The sequence below is a fragment of the Homo sapiens genome, chromosome 12 (assembly GCF_000001405.40).
Source record: "Homo sapiens chromosome 12, GRCh38.p14 Primary Assembly".
Classification (NCBI taxonomy): Eukaryota; Metazoa; Chordata; class Mammalia; order Primates; family Hominidae; genus Homo; species Homo sapiens.
This window is the reverse complement of record NC_000012.12, coordinates 128,834,046-128,853,219: the sequence shown is the minus strand read 5'-3', so window position 1 is coordinate 128,853,219 and position 19,174 is coordinate 128,834,046. Positions and strand designations below refer to the sequence as shown.

Genomic DNA, 19,174 nt, shown 5'->3' with positions numbered 1-19,174 from the left:
ACCACAGTCCCTCCCAAGAGGACTAGGACCAGCAGTGACCACGTTCCCTTCCACAGGGAACAGGCAGCGGTGACCACAGACCATTCTCACGGGGACCAGGACCAGCGGTGACCACAGTCCCTCCCAAGGGGACCAGGACCAGCGGTGACCACAGTCCCTTCCCACAGTGACCAGGACCAGGGGCGGCCTTGGTCCTTTCCCACAGGGAACAGGAGCAGGGGTGGCCATGGTCCGCTCCCATGGAAACCAGTGATGGCTTCCATGGGCTTCATTGGGAAATCAGGGCTTCACGGAACACCGGGTTGGCTGCAGGTCTGTGCCCACCGGGACCAGCAGAGACCTCGGGTTCCGTCCCACAGGGTGCTGCAGAGAGGGGCTCTCAGCCTCATTTTCCATGACAACCTGAGTGGGGCCTTGGTCCGCACGAAGCCCAGGATTCCTTTCTAGTCCCATTCCAGGGAACGTGGCATGATCAGTCCCAAATTCCTTCCCAGGCTAGACTACCCTAAAACTAACCCGAGGAGGGGAACATGGGGACTGTGTGAGGAGACAGTAGAAACCCATTTCAGGGCCGCACCTGTCGGGTGAGAAAGATGTTGGAGAGGGGAACCTGGGGTTCATCAGGGTACATGGGCTGCACCTGGTCTGGATCTCCAAACTAGGATACCTTGAGTGAGAGAAATAGGGAACTGAAGGAGGCCTCTGGCAAAATGCCATCTGTGGATTTAAACAAGCACTCCCCAAAACAGCTGTTAAGTGTTTACAAAGATGCACATGTATTTACAGATGTGGGACATTCTAGTGGGTGCCCAATATTTCCATTGACCTTCAAACTTGATTTTCTGTCATCCCCTAAATACCTTCCAGCCTCAAAAAGGTAAAGTGGGAATGAAGAAAGCCATGACATGGGATAACCACCGTCAGTGGCAGGTCTCCGGCCTCCCTACGCAGCATGGTGACCCCCAGGCTTATCAAGATATAAAAGTCCATCCTGGAGGGCACATTCGGCTCCGCAGGCTTCTCCCAGGTACGTCCACCACTCTGCCTCTCAGTGTGGCATGGAGTAGGGAAGAGTTGTATATCATTGTAGAACAATCAAAATCCTGTCCTCCTCTCACTCTCAAAAAAACACCCAGGATTTTGCTCTTCTTCCTGGTATTTCAGCTTCCCAGGCACCAGGCAGGCAGGCCACATCCTTTTTAAAGGACAAAAGCGATCTGAAAATATTATCATTCTGCTAAACAACTTAATACTTTCCAACAGAATTACATAAGCAAACAGGAAAGGGGACAAGTTGCACAGAGCTGTCACAACCCCCTTCTAACGACATTTTAGAAAAAGAGTTTTGACCCCGGGCACGGCGGCTGACTCCTATAATTCCAGCACTTTGGGAGGCCGAGGTGGGTGGATCACTTGAGGCCAGGAGTTCAAGACCAGTCTGGCCAACATGGCAAAACCCCGTCTCTACCAAAAATAGAAAAATAGATGGGCATGGTGGTACAAGCCTGTAGTCCTAGGTACTTGGGAGGCTGAGGCATGAGAATCATTTGAACCCAGGAGGCGGAGGTTGCAGTGAGCCGCGATCATGCCACTGCGCTCCAGCCTAGGCAGTAAAGCAAGACTCAGTGTTAAATAAATAAATAAGTTTTGAGTGGACTCCTGATATATTTGCTACACACCAAGAAGAGGCAATAAAACGCAGTGTCTGGTGTGGTATACAGAAGTAGAGGGGGGCACTTGCCCATGATCTTCCCCTATTTCACCTTGCCCATGGGATATTAAAAGCTAAATGTGAACAGATACATTTCTGATTTTACAAAGGCGACTTCAGCATGAGCCCAGAAAGGAACCTCCCTAAGGAGAGTTGAACTGGCAGCCTTGTGGGCTCAATATCATCCTTAGATGTATTTAGGCTACACCGTGTTTTTCATAAAAGCTGAGCTATTATTTTTTGTTTGTTTTGAGACAGTGTCACTCTGTCATCCAGGCTGGGGGTGCCGTGGTGTGATTATGGATCACTCCAGCTTCCACCTCCTGGGCTCAAGTGATCCTCCCATCTCAGCCTTCCAAAAAAGTAGCTGGAACCATAGATGTGCACCACCATGCTGGGCTAATTTTTTGTATTTTTTGTAGAAGTGGGGTCTCACTATGTTGTCCAGGCTGGTCTTGAGCTCCTGGGCTCAAGCAGTCAACTCACCTCAGCCTCCCAGAGTACTGGAATTACAGGCGTGAGCCACTATACCTGGCCAAGCCACCATTTTTTAATTGGGAGCTTTCATATAGAAGTTGGAATTTCTGATATCTGTTAAAAAATGAGAGATCTGATTAAATGAAGCCACCATCCTGTGGCTGACTGAAGCTGGGAAGCAGCTGCCTGCTTAAGATGAAATCTGAATGTGCCATTTCACACAGTGCTTGAAGGCTCACTTCAATTCCTTGATAACCTCGATCTGTATTCTTGTGTTTAGAAAAAATTTGAAGTTTATTTTTACGTAAATTAAGTTCAGAAGAAGGTGGCCCAAGCCTAATATAGTGGCTGTACCATCACCAGGAACCCAGACTTTCCTCTGTCTACTCCATCATGCTAGTGTTTAGCTTCTAGTCTCAAGATCACCTTATCAAGGAATTGATAAGGAGTAGGACTGCTACAGCTCCACCCATCACATCAACATTCCAGGCAGCAGGAAGGAAGGAAAGGCAAAAGTGGTGCACTCCAGATGGTGTATTTTATTTTAAAGTGTCTTCCTAAAAATGCAAACAGCCCTATGCCTTTATTGTGTTGGCCACGTGGCCATTTCTTGCATCCAAGGAGGCTAAGACATGCGGTCTATTAACTGGGTACACTGCCACCTAAATACAATCGTGGTTACTAAAGAAAAGTGGCAGAATAGGTTTGCAGTAAGTCACCTCTGCCATAGCAATCTAAATTAATAGATTAAAAGAGGAAATGGCAGAGGCATTTGAATCAGAGCAACTCCCTCTTGAATAGGGGCTGGGTAAAATGAGGCTGAGACCCGCTGGGCTGCCTCCCAGGAGGTTAAGGCATTCTAAGTGACAGGATGAGATAGGAGGTCGGTACAAGATACAGGCCACAAAGATCTTGCTGATAAAACAGTTTGCAGTAAAGAAGCCGGCCAAAACCCACCAAAACCAAGATGGCAATGAAAGTGACCTCTGGTTGTCCTCAACTGCTACACTCTCACTAGCGCCATGACAGTTTAGGAATGCCATGGCAACGTCAGGAAGTTACCCTATATGGTCTAAACAGGGGAGGCATGAATAATCCACCCCTTGTTTAGCATATCATCAAGAAATCACCATAAAAATGGGCAACCAGCAGCCCTCGGGCTGCTCTGTCTATGGAATAGCCATTCTTTATTCCTTTACTTTCTTAATAAACTTGCTTTCCCTTTACTGTATGGACTCGCCCTGAATTCTTTCTTGTGTGAGATCCAAGAACCTTCTCTTGGGGTCTGAAATAGGACCCCTTTCCGGTAACAGAAATACATATGACCCTCTCAATGGGTGGAATAAGAACATTCAGTAGGATTCAACACTCATTCTTGATGATACAAAAGAAGTAATAAAAGTAAGAAGAAAGAAAGGAACAAAGGAAGGAAGGAGGGATGGGGAGGGAGGCAGGGATGAAAGGAAGGAAGGAATTCAGTAATATAAGAAACTACGAAGAACTTTAAAAACTCTGTTTTTTAAAATCTTGCAGGTAAAAATTGCCTGACTCTGTGATTATCTCTTTTCTAGTCTCTCTACAGCTTATGAGTGGTTGAACCAGATTCAGAACTGCTCTCCAGAGGACTTTTGGAAATTTGGGGATGGAGAAGGAAATTTGTTGTCAGAATGATTAAGGAATGTCGTCAATATTTCACAACTAGGCCCAGAAGTTTTAACACCTTGCAACGTATAGGACATCCCTGCCTAAAGAAAAAATGCTTTTCCCCAAATGCCAGTAGATACCTGTATTAGTCAGGGTTCTCCAAGGAAACAGAACTAATGGGAAATTCATATTCGTAAATGGAGATTTATTATGAGGCATTGGCTCATGTAATCATGAAGGCTGAGAAGAACCCTGATCTGCTGTCTGCCATACGGAGAACCAGGAAAGCTGGTGGTGTAATTCAGTTCCAGTCTGAAGGCCTGAGCAATGGTGTAAATCCCAGTTTGAGGGAGGAGGGGGAATGGTGGGGGTGGTTGCTGAGAAGATGACATGAAATGTGCCCGCTCAAGCAGTGAGGCAGTGGGGAAAATGGAGGGGGGTGGGGAAGGGGGGGCAAATTCCTCTTTCCTCCTCCTTTTTTTCTTGAGAACAGGGTCTTACTCTGTCCCCCAGGTTGGAGTGCAGTGGTAGGATCTCCGCTCACTGCAAACTCCGCCTCCTGGGTTCAAGCAATTCTCTTGCCTCAGCCTCCTGAGTAGCTGGGATAACAGGCACACACCACTATACCCAGATAATTTTTCATTTTTAGTAGACACGGGGCTTCGCCATTTTGGCCAGGGCAGTCTCGAACTCCTGACCTCAAGTGATCCGCAGACCCTCCTCGCCTCCCAAGTGCTGGGATTACAGGCGTGAGCCACCGCACCCAGCCTCCTCCACCTTTTTCGCTCTACTCAGACCTTCAACAGATTGGATGAAGCCCAGCCACACCGGGGAGCGCACTTGCTCAACTCAGTTCACGGACGCAAATCTCATCTGGAAACACCTGCCCAGGTCCACCTTGAAACTACGTCCAATGTGGGCCCCTGATATGGGTTTGGATCTGTGTCCTCGCCCAAATCTCATGTGAAATTGTAGCCCCCAGTGTTGGAGGTGGGGCCTGGTGGGAGGTGGCTGGATCATGGGGGTGGATTTCTCATGAGTGGTTTAGTGCCATCCCCTTCGTTCTGTCTTCATGAGAGTAAGCAAGTTCTCACCAGCTCTGGTAGTTTACAAGTGTGAACTCGCCGCACTCTCTTGCTCCTGCTCCCACCATGTGAGACGCCTCACTGCCCATCTGCCTTCTGCCATGATTGGAAGCTTCCTGAGGCCTCCCCAGAAGCAGAAGCTGCAGTGCTTCCTGTACAGCCTGCAGAATCGCAAGCCAATTCAACCTCTTTTCTTTAAAAACTACCCAGTCTTAGGTATTTTTTTTCTTTTCTTTTTTTTTTTTTTCCTTTTGAGACAAGATCTCACTCAGATGCCCAGGCTGGAATGCAGTGGTACAGTCTCAGCTCACTGCAACCTCCACCTCCTGGGTTCAAGCGATTCTCCTGCCTCAGCGTCCTGAGTAGCTGTGCCACCATGCCCTGCTAATTTTTGTATTTTTAGTAGAGATCACATTTCACTGTGTTGGCCAGGCTGGTCTCGAACTCCCGCCTCAGCCTCCCAAAGTGCTGAGATTACAGGCGTGAGCCACGGCACACAGCTTTCAGGTATTTCTGGTTTTTTTGTTTGTTTGTTTGTTTGTTTGTTTTTGAGATGAGGTCTCGTTTTGTCGCACAGTCTGGAATGCAGTGGTGTGATCTCGGCTCACTGCAGCCTCCGCCTCCCAGGTACAAGTGATTCTCCTGCCTCAGCCTCCCAAGTAGCTGGGATTACAGGCGTGCACCACCACACCCAGCTAATTTAGTATTTTTAGTAGAGACAGGATTTTTTTTTTTTTTTTTTTTTTGAGACGGAGTCTCACTCTGTCGCCCAGGCTGGACTGCAGTGGCGCGATCTCGGCTCACTGCAAGCTCTGCCTCCCAGGTTCACACCATTCTCCTGCCTCAGCCTCCGGAGCAGGTGGGACTACAGGCACCCGCCACCACGCCCAGCTCATTTTTTGTATTTTTAGTAGAGATGGGGTTTCGCCGTGTTAGCCAGGATGATCTCTATCTCCTGACCTCGTGATCCGCCCATCTCAGCCTCCCAAAGTGCTGGGACTACAGGCACCCACCACCACGTCTGGCTATTTTTTAAATATTTTAGTACAGACGGGGTTTCACCATGTTAGCCAGGATGTCTCAATCTCCTGACCTCGTGATCCATCCACCTCGGCCTCCCAGAGTGCTTGGATTACAGGCGTGAGCCACTGTGTCCGGCCACTTTTTTGTTTTCTAAAATGGAAGTAGTTCTTCACCGCTGGGCATGGCCTCCTTCTTCTCCACACTGACCTTTCCCTCCCTCAAGGCTTCCTGGGGCTGCAAAGCAAAGAACCACGAACTTCTCTGTGGCCTAAGCCACGGAAGCTCTGGAAGACAGATGTCTGGGCTCCCGGTGTCACAGAGTGGCCCTTCCTCCGGCTCCGGAGGACAGACGTCCGGGCTCACGGTGTCACAGAGTGGCCCTTCCTCCGGCTCCGGAGGACAGACGTCCGGGCTCACGGTGTCACAAGTGGCCCTTCCTCCGGCTCCAGAGGACAGACGTCCGGCTCACGGTGTCACAGAGTGGCCCTTCCTCCGGCTCTGGAGGACAGACGTCCGGGCTCACGGTGTCACAAGTGGCCCTTCCTCCGGCTCCGGAGGACAGACGTCCGGCTCACGGTGTCACAGAGTGGCCCTTCCTCCGGCTCTGGAGGACAGACGTCCGGGCTCGCGGTGTCACAGAGGGGCCCTTCCTCCGGCTCTGGAGGACAGACGTCCGGGCTCGCGGTGTCACAGAGGGGCCCTTCCTCCGGCTCTGGAGGACAGACGTCCGGGCTCGCGGTGTCACAGAGTGGCCCTTCCTCCGGCTCTGGAGGACAGACGTCCGGGCTCGCGGTGTCAGCAGAGGGTCCCTTCCTCCGGCTCTGGAGGACAGACGTCCGGGCTCGCGGTGTCACAGAGGGGCCCTTCCTCCGGCTCTGGAGGACAGACGTCCGAGCTCGCGGTGTCAGCAGAGTGGCCCTTCCTCCGCCTCTGGAGGACAGACGTCCGAGCTCGCGGTGTCAGCAGAGTGGCCCTTCCTCCGCCTCTGGAGGACAGACGTCCGGGCTCGCGGTGTCAGCAGAGTGGCCCTTCCTCCGCCTCTGGAGGACAGACGTCCGGGCTCGCGGTGTCAGCAGAGTGGCCCTTCCTCCGGCTCTGGAGGACAGACGTCCGGGCTCGCGGTGTCAGCAGAGTGGCCCTTCCTCCGGCTCTGGAGGACAGACGTCCGGGCTCGCGGTGTCACAGAGGGGCCCTTCCTCCGGCTCTGGAGGACAGACGTCCGGGCTCGCGGTGTCACAGAGGGGCCCTTCCTCCGGCTCTGGAGGACAGACGTCCGGGCTCGCGGTGTCAGCAGAGGGGCCCTTCCTCCGGCTCTGGAGGACAGACGTCCGGGCTCGCGGTGTCAGCAGAGTGGCCCTTCCTCCGGCTCTGGAGGACACACGTCCGGGCTCGTGGTGTCACAGAGTGGCCCTTCCTCTGCCTCTGGAGGACAGACGTCCGGGATCGCGGTGTCACAGAGTGGCCCTTCCTCCGCCTCTGGAGGACAGACGTCCGGGATCCCGGTGTCAGCAGAGTGGCCCTTCCTCCGGCTCTGGAGGACAGACGTCCGGGCTCGCGGTGTCACAGAGGGGCCCTTCCTCCGGCTCTGGAGGACAGACGTCCGGGCTCACGGTGTCAGCAGAGGGGCCCTTCCTCCGGCTCTGGAGGACAGACGTCCGGGATCGCGGTGTCAGCAGAGTGGCCCTTCCTCCGGCTCTGGAGGACAGACGTCCGGGCTCGCTGTGTCACAGAGTGGCCCTTCCTCCGGCTCTGGAGGACAGACGTCCGGGCTCCCGGTGTCAGCAGAGTGGCCCTTCCTCCGCCTCTGGAGGACAGATGTCCGGGCTCACGGTGTCACAGAGTGGCCCTTCCTCCGGCTCTGGAGGACAGACTTCCGGGCTCGCGGTGTCACAGAGTGGCCCTTCCTCCGGCTCTGGAAGACAGACGTCCGGGCTCACGGTGTCAGCAGAGTGGCCCTTCCTCCGGCTCTGGAGGACAGACGTCTGGGCTCGCGGTGTCACAGAGTGGCCCTTCCTCCGGCTCTGGAGCACAGACGTCTGGGATCGCAGTGTCAGCAGAGTGGCCCTTCCTCCGGCTCTGGAGGACAGACGTCCGGGCTCGCGGTGTCACAGAGTGGCCCTTCCTCCGGCTCTGGAGGACAGACGTCCGGGCTCGCGGTGTCACAGAGTGGCCCTTCCTCCGGCTCTGGAGGACAGACGTCCGGGATCGCGGTGTCAGCAGAGTGGCCCTTCCTCCGGCTCTGGAGGACAGACGTCCGGGCTCGCGGTGTCACAGAGTGGCCCTTCCTCCGGCTCTGGAGGACAGACGTCCGGGATCGCGGTGTCAGCAGAGTGGCCCTTCCTCCGGCTCTGGAGGACAGACGTCCGGGCTCGCGGTGTCACAGAGTGGCCCTTCCTCCGGCTCTGGAGGACAGACGTCCGGGCTCGCGGTGTCAGCAGAGTGGCCCTTCCTCCGGCTCTGGAGGACAGACGTCCGGGCTCGCGGTGTCACAGAGTGGCCCTTCCTCCGGCTCTGGAGGACAGACGTCCGGGCTCGCGGTGTCAGCAGAGTGGCCCTTCCTCCAGCTCTGGAGGACAGAAGTCTGGGCTCGCGGTGTCACAGAGTGGCCCTTCCTCCGGCTCTGGAGGACAGAAGTCTGGGCTCGCGGTGTCAGCAGAGTGGCCCTTCCTCCGGCTCTGGAGGACAGACGTCTGGGCTCGCGGTGTCACAGAGTGGCCCTTCCTCCGGCTCTGGAAGACAGACATCTGGGATCACGGTGTCAGCAGAGTGGCCCTTCCTCTGGCTCTGGAGGACAGACGTCTGGGATCACGGTGTCAGTAGAGGGGCCCTTCCTCTGGAGCCTCTAGTGGGGAACCTGTTAGTTGCATCTTTTGGCTTCTGGTGGCTGGTGTTTCTTTTTTCTTTTTTCATCTTTTTTTTTTTTTAATTTAATTAGAGACAGGGTCTGCCTGTGTAGCCCAGGCTGGTCTCAAACTCCTGGCCTCAAGCAGTCCTCCTGCTCTGTCCTCACAAAGTGCTGTGGTTACAGGCGTGAGTCATGGGGCCCAGCCTGTTGGTGTTTCCTGACTTGTGGCCCCATCACTGCAGTCTCTGCCTTCAGGGTCACATGGCCTTCTCCTCTGCTGGAGCATCCCCTCCTGTAAGTTTCTTTTTTTTTTTTTTTTTTTTGAGATGGAGCCTAGCTCTGTCACCCAGGCTGGAATGCTGTGGCGGGATCTTGGCTCACTGCAACCTCCACCTCCAGGGTTCAAGCAACTCTCGTGCCTCAGCCCCCCAAGTAGCTGGGACTACCAGTGAGCACCACTACACCTGGCTAATTTTTGTATTTTTAGTAGAGATGAGGTTTCACCATGTTGGCCAGGCTGATCTCAAACTCCTAACCTTAGGTGATCTGCTTGCTTCAGCCTCTCAAAATGCTGGGATTACAGGCGTGGGCCAGCACGCCCAGCCTCCTGTAAGTTTATTGTAAAGGCACTCATCATGTGATTTCGGGCATGCTGGGCAATCTAGGATGATTTCCTCATCTTAAGATCCCTATTTTAGTTACAACAAAAATCACTTTTTCTCATAATGTCACTGTTGTGGTTTGAATGATGGTGTCCTCTCTAAAACTGATGCTGAAACTGAATCCTCAATGCAACAGCATTAAGAGGTGGGGCCTTTAGGTGGTGATTAGGCTATTAGAGCTCTGCCCTCATGGATATGGTTAGTGTCTTATCAAATGTCTTCGGGGGTGAGTTCATTCCTTCTACCTCCTCTGCTATGGAGGATGCAGCGTTCATCCCCTCAAAGGTCTTCGGGGGTGAGCTCATTCCTTCTACCTCCTCTGCTATGGAGGACACAGTGTTCCTCCCCTCTGGAAGATGCTGCAATAAGGCAACATTGTGGAAGCAGAGAGCAGCCTCACCTGCCCCCAGGTCTGCTGCTGCCTTGATCTTGAACTTCCCAGCCTCTAGAACTGTGAGAAATAAATTCCCATTGTTTGAAAATCACCCAGTCTACGGTATTTTGTTACAGCAGCACACATGGACTGAGCACATCCGATTTACAGGTTCTGGGGATTACAGTATGTACATTTCTTTCTTGGGGCCACCCTTCAGACCACCACAAAATCCCTCTTCAAAGATGACTGCATTTTGTTGTTGTTGTTGTTGTTTGTTTTGTTTGTTTGTTTTTTGAGATGACATCTTGCTCAGTCACCCAGTCTGGAGCGCAGTGGTGCAATCTTGGCTCACTGCAACTGTGCCTCCTAGTTTCAAGCAATTCTCCTGCCTCAGCTCCCCAGGTAGCTGGGACTACAGGTGCGCACCACCAGACCCGGCTAATTTTTGTATTTTTAGTAGAGATGAGGTGTCGCTATATTGGCCAGGCTAGTCTCGAACTCCTGGCCTCAAGTGATCCACCCACCTTCCTTGGCCTCCCAAGGTGCTGGGATTACAGGGATGAATCGCCACGCCCAGCCACATCACTGCATTGATGAAGGCCCCCAATCGCCTCATCTGGGACTATTCTTCACCTTCCCTAACCCTGAGGCTCTTTGGCCCTGTCTGCTGTCCTGATCCCGTTCTGCATTTAGCCACGGAGCAGTCAGCCCCTTCCCCTCAACTGGATAGTGACCTCCTCGACAGCCAAGTCATTTGTGCCTATAACCTCGGCTTGCCTGGGACAGTGACATGCCTGGGTAAAGGCAGTCAATCAATGTTTGTTGAGTTTCATCAAATCTTTAAATGTGCACTGTTACAAGATTTTATTCCTATAAGAATGTATTTCTGACTTTTTTGAGATGGCGTCTCACTCTCTCACCCAGGCTGGAGTGCAATGGCTCGATCTCGGCTCTCTGCAACCTCCCCCTCCCAGGTTCAAGCGATTCTCCTGCCTCAGCCTCCCAAGTAGCTGGGATTACAGGCACATGCCACCGTGCACAGCTAATTTTTTGTATTTTTAGTAGAGATGAGGTGTTACCATGTTGGCCAGGCTGGTCTCAAAGTCCTGACCTCAAGTGATCCACCTGTCTCAGCCTCTCAAAGTGCTGGGATTACAGGTGTGAGCCACTGCGCCTGGCCCATTTCTGACTTTTTAATGGGAGTCAGTGTTACAAGGGGATTTGCTGAACTGAAATTCACTTATATTTGGTTGTTCTGGAATACACCTGTTCCACAAGGTAAGATATTCTCACATCTCCTTTGGGACCCATTACTTTACACATTCATGGCTTCAGTTTACCCATTTGTAAAACAAGAAAAAACGATAAACAATATCATAGTTAATTAGTTCTTTTGATGGAGTCTTTTATGATTCTCTCAAGTAGGTAACATAAAAGGGTACAAATGCAATGTGTTATTATGGGATAATGTAGAAATAATTACCGAGGAGGAGAGCAGTAGAACAGAAAAAGTTGTAGACATCTCTCATAAGATTTCTCCAGATGCTTCTAACATAAGGGTCTTACAATAAATGTAAAGCAAAACCTGTTTTTTTCTTTGATCATAGTGTTTGCTCAGACTATTTTTCCAGTTCCTAGCACCAGGGAAAATAAAACTTTATTATCTACCCTGTACAAAAATGATAGCATTTTCAAGAGAAAGCATGGTGGGCATACTGACTTTAGAAGTGGCTCTGTGACAAAAATCAACACAACTTCTCTCCTTTTTTCCTTTAGAGCATTAACAGGAAAGGCACTCTGTTTCTTTGTTTCTATCAGAGTTTTTAGTTTTTGTACCATCATTTCTCCCCATGGTACAGCAAACTATGAATGCTGTGTGTGTGTGTGTGTGTGTGAGAGAGAGAGAGAGAGTGAGAGAGAGAGAGAGAGAGAGAGAGAGAGAGAAAGAGAGAGACAGAGAGAGACACACAGAGAGACAGAGACAGGGACAAGAGACAGAGAGGGGTAAGAAGAGAGGGAGAGAGAGAGAGAGGGAGAGAGAGATACAGGAGACAGACAATGACAGAGAGACAGAGAGGGGGAAAGAGAGGGAGGGTGAGAGATGGAGAGAGAGATAGAGATAGAGAGAGAGAAGAGGAAAAAGAGAGGGAGGAAAGAGAAATCCGCATTTGAATAAAGCAGGTGCATGTGGAATTGTGGTTTCTTTGCCCTAGTTATGTTTCCTTTTCCTGACTTTTATTAATAGCACTTGAAAGTGACCAACTGCAAAAAAAAAAAAATTCTGTTATTCTGGAAGTATCTAGTTCCTGCGAGGGTTGTTTAATGAACATGACGAAGTCAGTCAACCAGAATAAGTGGTTTCTTCCCTTTGAGCTTTTGGCAAGAAGTCGGGGTTTCAATTCCCACTGCTGTTCTGATGACAGTGCAGACCCAATTCTTAACTTTGCAGCACAAAGCCGCTCATCCCAAAGACGGTCGTCCCTGCAAAGGAGACAGTGAGCTTAACAGTGCATGGCACAGCCGTAAGGATCAGAGGTTTACTCAAGGGATGATGGGCTGCATTTGAACAGCTTTCAGTAGCAACCTGTTGTGGGCAGAGACTCGTATTTATTCTTTTAACATTTTAACTTATTTTTATTAAATAATAAGATATGTTTAAGAAATTCAGATAAGCAAAAAACAATTGTAAAAATCACAAGGTTGGGTGCAGTGGCTGACGCCTGTATTCCCAGCAATTTGGGAGGCTGAGGTGGGCGGATCACCTGAGGTTAGGAGTTTAAGACCAGCCTGAACATAGGGAAACCCCGTCTCTACTAAAAATACAAAATTACCTGGATGTGGTGGTGCATGCCTGTAATCCCAGCTACTTGGGAAGCTGAGGCAGGAGAATCATTTGAACCCAGGAGGCGGAGGCTGCAGTGAGCCGAGATCATGCCATTGCACTGCACTCTAGCCTGGGCGACAAGAGCAAAACTCCATTAAAAAAAAAAACTCACACAATTTCGTTTCCCTGAGATAACTACTATGAATATTTTGGCATCAAGTTTTTCCTGACTTGACATACAATCATCGTAATAGTCCACTTTACTGGGTGTGCACCGGGAGCCTAATATTTTTCTAAGCACTGTTCAGTGTCCTTCAATGAATCCTCCCGAATCCTAAACTCTGGGGACTGTTCTCACCATTTCACAGTCGAAGAGCTGGAGACACAGGAAGGTGCGATGCCTCCCAGAGGTAATACAAGCAGTGGAAACGCTACAGTGCTTCTTCAGCGGGGCTGTATGGACACAGCAGGTAATACAGGCAGTGGAAATGCTACGGTGTTTCCTTGGCTCTGCTGTATGGACACAGTAGGTAATACAGGCAGTGGAAACGCTACGGTGTTTCCTTGGCTCTGCTGTATGGACACAGTAGGTAATACAGGCAGTGGAAATGCTACGGTGTTTCCTTGGCTCTGCTGTATGGACACAGCAGGTAATACAGGCGGTGGAAACGCTACGGTGTTTCCTTGGCTCTGCTGTATGGACACAGTATTCTTGTCAGCTCTTGTTCTGTTTTGTTTGTGTTTTTCATTTTTGCTACAAGAAATAGAAACACCCTGTACATTTTGGTATTATGCTCTTTATTACTTAATAATTGTGGTAGGCAAAATTCTAACAGGGCCCGCTAGAGTTCCCAACAATGGTGTACACACACACCTCCTCCCAAATCCATCACATGTCAGTCCAGGGGCTGGCAGGGAGAGAACTTGCAGATGAGACTTGAATCCCCAAATGGGTTGACCTTAAAATAGGAAGGTTACGCAGGATGAGCCTCACTTAATAATTGTCTTCTTGAAAGGACTGAGCATTTCCTCAGGTCAGAAAGATTCAAAGGGTGACTTGATGTCAGGGAGATTCTCTACTGCTCCTCCAAAGATGAAGAGGACAGCGTGATGAGGGAGGCAGGCCGACTCCAGGAACTGAGAGCGGCCCCCAGCCATCAGGCAGCAAGGAAATGGCCCTTCAACCCATCTCCTCGAGGAACTACCTTCTACCACAACCACATGAGCACGAAAGAGAGCCCTGACCTCCCGATGAGATCTCAGCTGGCCAACACTTTGATTGCAGCTTTGTGAGACCCTGGACAGAGAGGCCAGCCATATCAACGCCTAGACTTCCAGCCTCCTGAAGCCTGTGAACTCATCAGTGGGCATTGTTTTAAGCTGCTAAAGTAGTGGTTATTTGCTACGCAGCAATAGAAAATGAATACAATAATATGTCATGAACACTTTTCCAACTCATAATCCTACCTCTGCAGTATCATTTGAATAACGACGTAGCATTCCAGTATATGCATACACTAGAACTGATTTGATCTCTGCCTTGTTGTTGTACGTCTTTGCCATTTCCAATCATTTTGTGATTTTTATGCAACATTGTAATGAACATTTTATTGGTAAGTCTGGGCACACATTCTTTAATTTCTAGAAGTGGAATTGCACATTCAAAGTGTAAGCCAGTAAGTTTTTGATACAAGTGACTAATTGCCCTCCAGAAGAGCTGTGCCGGTTTACTTTCCGTTGGTCATTTATGAGCATATTTATTTCCCAGAACATAGCCAACACGGGCTATTTTTCAGGTCAAGTGACAAACCATGTCTCCTCTTTTTGCATTTTAAAATTATTGGTGTAATTTGCCTTTTTTTTTTCATGAAAGGCATCTGTATTTTTTTCTGTGAGTGTGTATGCTTATATTGGTTCAAACTGTTTTTAAAATTTTTAAATTTTTTATTTTTAACTTGTATGGTACATAGTAGGTATACATATTTAAGGGGCATGTGAAATATTTTGATACAGGCAAGCAATGTGTAGTAATTACATGAGGGTAAATGGGGTCTCCATCACCTTAGGCATTTATCATTTCTTTGTGTTATTAACAATCCAATTATACTCTTTTAATTATTTTAAAATGTAAAATAAATTGTTGTTTATTGCTGTGCTATCAAATACTAGATTTGTTCATGAGTTATTTTCTTTTCTTTTCATTTCTTTTCTTTTTTGAGACGGAGTCTCACTCTGTCTCCCAGACTGGAGTATAGTGGCTCGATCTCGGCTCACTGCAACTTCTGCCTCCTGGGTTTAAGTGATTCTCCTGCCACAGCCTCCTGAGTAGCCGGGATTGCAGGCCCCTGCCACCATGCCCGGATAATTTTTCTATTTTCAGTAGAGACGGGGTTTCACCATGTTAGCCAGGCTGGTCTCAAACTCCTGACCTCAGGTGACCCACCTGCCTCGGCCTCCCACAGTGCTGGGATTACAGGTGTGAGCCATCCTGCCCAGCCAGATTCCTTTATTATCATACACTGAGATTTTTCTTTTTTGCTTTTATTTTTCTTTATTTTATTTTTTTTGAGACTGAGTCTCGCTCTGTCACCCAGGCTAGAGTGCAGTGGCATGATCTCGGCTCACTGCCAGCTCCACTTCTTGGGTTCAAGCCATTCTCCTGCCTCAGCCTCCCCAGTAGCTGGGACTACAGGTGCCCGCCACCACGCCCAGCTAATTTTTTTTTGTATTTTTAGTAGAGACGGGGGTTTCACCGTGTTAGCCAGGATGGTCTCATCTCCTGACCTCATGATCCACCTGCCTCGGCCTCCCAAAGTGCTGGGATTACAGGCGTGAGCCACCGCGCCCGGCCTATTTCTTTATTTTTTTAATTAATTATTATTTTTCTTTTGAGATGGAGTCTCACTCTGTTTCCCAGACTGGAGTACAGTGGCACAATCTTGGCTCACTACTACCTCTATCTCCCAGGCTCAAGCAATTCTCCTGCCTCAGCCTCCTAAGTAGCTGGGACTACAGATGCCTGCCACCCTGCTGTGCAATCAAATACTAGATCATATTCATTCTATCTAACTATATTTTTGTACCCATTAACCATCTCCATTCCTTCCTTTCCCCCTACTACCCTTCCCAGCCTTTGGTAACCATCTTTCTACTGTCTATCTCCATGAGTTCAATTGTTTTAATTTGTAGCCCCCACGAATGAGTGAGAACATGCAAAGTTTATCTTTCTGTGTCTGTCTTATTTCACTTAATATAATGTCCTCCAGTTCTATCCATGTTGTTGCAAATGACAAGATATCATTCTTTTTATGGCTGAACAGTACTCCAGTGTGTATATGTACCACATTATCTTTATACATTCATTTGTTGATGGACACTTAGGTTGATTCCAAATCTTGGCTATTGTGAGCAGTGCTGCAATAGATATGGGAGTGCAAATATCTCTTCGATATACTGATTGTCTTTCATTTGGCTATATATCTAGCAGTGGGATTGCTGGATTATATGATAGCTCTATTTTTAGTTTTGGGAGGAACCTCCAAACTGTTCTCCACACTGGCTGTACGTATCTACATTCCCACCAATGACATACAAGGGTTTCTTTTCCTCCACATTCTCACCAGCATTTGTTATTGCCTGACTTTTGGATAAAAGAAATTTTTTTTTCAAGAAGGAGTCTCACTCTGTCACCCAGGCTGGAATACAGTGGCGTGATCTCAGCTCACTGCAACCTCCACCTCCCGGGTTCAAGCGATTCTCCTGCCTCAGCCTCCTGAGTAGCTGGGACTACAGGCGTGCTCCACCACACCCAGCTAATTTTTTTTTTTTTTTTTTAGTAGAGACGGAGTTTCACCATATTGGCTGCCGAGACCAGCTTGGTTGGGGAGACCCTAACCCAGCAGCACTAGAGGAATTAAAGACACACACACAGGCATGTAGAGGTGTGAAGTGGGAAATCAGGGGTCTCACAGCCTTCAGAGCTGAGAGCCTCGAACAGACATTTACCCACGTATTTATTAACAGCAAGCCAGCCATTAGCATTGTTTCTATAGATATTAAATTCACTAAAAGTATCCCTTATGGGAAACGAAGGGATGGGCCGAATTAAAGGAATAGGTTAGGCTAGTTGACTGCAGCAGGAGCACGTTCTTAAGGCACAGATCGCTCATCCTATTGTTTGTGGCTTAAGAATGCCTTTAAGCGGTTTTCTGCCCTGGGCGGGCCAGGTTTTCCTTGCCCTCATTCCCATAAACCCACAACCTTCCAGCGTGGGCGTTAGGGCCATTGAGAACATGTTACAGTGCTGCAGAGATTTTGTTTATGGCCAGTTTTGGGGCCAGTTTATGGCCAGATTTTGGGGGGCTTGTTCCCAACAATTGGCCAGGCTGCTCTCGAACTCCTGACCTCGTGATCTACCCACCTCGGCCTCCCAAAGTGCTGTGATTACAGGTGTGAGCCACTGCGCTGGCCAAGATGAAAGCCATTTTAACTAGGGTGAGATGATATCTCATTGTAGTTTTGTTTTGTTTGAGACAGGGTCTCACTCTGTCGCCCAGGCTGGAGTGCAGTGGCACGATCTCAACTCACTACAACCTCGGTCTCCCAGGTTCAATCGATCCTCCCACCTCAGCCACCTGAGTGGCTAAAATGACAGGCGCCTGCCACCACGGCCAGCTAATTTTTGTATTTTTAGTAGAGACGGGGTTTCGCCATGTTGGCCAGGCTGGTCTCAAACTCCTGACCTCAAGTGATCTGGCTGCATCCGCCTCCCAAAGTGCCAGGATTACAGGCATGAGCTACCACACCCGGCCTCATTGTAGTTTTGATTTGCAGTTCTCTGAGGATCGATGATGTTGGGCACCTTTTTGTAACCTCTTCGCCATTTGTGTGTCTTCTCTTGAGAAGTGTCTATTCAGATCTTTTGCCCATTTTAAAAATGGGATTATTAGAATTTTTCCTATTGAGTCATTTGCGTTGTTTATATATTCTGGTTATTAATCTCTTGTCAGATGGGTGGTTTGTAAATATTTTCTCCCATTCTGTGGGTTGTCTCTTCACTTTGTTGATTGTTTCCTTTTCTGGGAAGAAGGCTTTTAATTTGATGTCATCCCATGTGTCTATTTTTGCTTTGGTTGCCTTTGCCTGTGGTGGAGTTTTACTCAAGAAATCGTTGCCCTGACCAATGTCCTGGAGCGTTCCCCCCACTTTTGGTATTTGTTCTGTTTTGTTTTTGAGACAGAGTCTCCCTCTGTCCCCTAGATTGGAGTGCAGTGGTGCGATCTTGGTTCACTGCAGTCTCTGCCTCCAGGGTTCAAGAGATTCTCTTGCCTAAACCTCCGGAGTAGCTGGGATTACAGGCACCCGCCACCATGGCCAGCTAATTTTTGTATTAGTAGAGATGGGGTTTCACCATGTTGGCCAGGCTGGTCTCGAACTTCTGACCTCAAGTGATTCGCCCGCCTCAGCCTCCCAAAGTGCTGGGATTATAGGCATGAGCCACCACACCTGGCCTGTCCTGTCTTTTCTTTTCTTTTTTTTTGAGATGGAGTTTCGCTCTTGTTGCCCAGGCTGGAGTACAATGGTGTGATCTCGGTTCACCGCAACCTCTGCCTCCCGGGTCCAAGCGATTCTCTTGCCTCAGCCTCCCAAGCAGCTGGGATTACAGGCATGCGCCACCACGCCCGGCTAATTTTGTATTTTTAGTAGAGACGAGGTTTCTCCATGTTGGTCAGGCTGGTCTTGAACTCCCGAACTTAGGTGATGTGCCGCCTCAGCCTCCCATACTGCTGGGATTACAGGCGTAAGCCACCGCGCCTGGCCCTCCCCAGTGTTTTCTTGTCATAGCTTCAGAGTTTTAGGTCTTAGATTTAAGTCTTTAATCCATTTTGATTTGATTTTTGTACAAAGCTGGTTGGGACTTTTTCTATTGCAATTGACAGAATGTCACATTTGCTTAACCAAAAGGAGAATTTATGGACTCACAATTAAAATGTCTAATTTTAAAGAAAAAGCTACTTTTAGCTATGATCAGAACCAAGATCTATAAACAGTCCTTTTTTCTTTTTTTTTTTTTCTTTTGCTCTGTTGTCCAGGTTGGAGCACACTGGCACCATCTCAGCTCACTGCAACCTTTACCTCCCGGGTTCAAGCGATTCTCCTGCTTCAGCCTCTCAAGTGGTTGAGACTACAGGCAGACCCCACAATTAGCCTGGCTAATTTTTGTATTTTAGTAGAGACGGGGTTTCACCATGTTGGCTAGGTTGGTCTTGAACTCCTGACCTCAGGTGATCCCCACCTGCCTCAGCCTCCAAAATTCTGGGATTTAAACTGTCTTTTTCAAACAAGTGTCTCTCTCATCTCTATCTCCTTCTGGGATGCTTACTTCTCTGGTTTCACAAGATGGCCTCTGGCAACTCCAAGCTTATATTTCCATGATCTCAAACTCAACAGAAAAGAGAATCACTTCTTCCTGCTCATTCGAGAGTAAATTCTGGGATTAGCTTTGACCAACTAGGATCACATGTCCA

General features: G+C 49.1%; 1 long non-coding RNA gene and 1 pseudogene across 1 annotated transcript; both read left to right on the top strand.

Annotated features, from left to right (window-relative positions):
- Window positions 1–124: 124 nt before the first annotated feature.
- LOC100128276 (uncharacterized) lies at window positions 125–4,049 on the top strand. The gene is made up of 3 exons (NR_148996.1): window positions 125–144; window positions 868–1,027; window positions 3,760–4,049. It is a non-coding gene; the product is annotated as an uncharacterized LOC100128276 (long non-coding RNA).
- Window positions 4,050–4,745: 696 nt separating this feature from the next.
- LOC124903089 (uncharacterized) lies at window positions 4,746–8,842 on the top strand (annotated as a pseudogene).
- The last annotated feature ends 10,332 nt before the right edge of the window (window positions 8,843–19,174 follow it).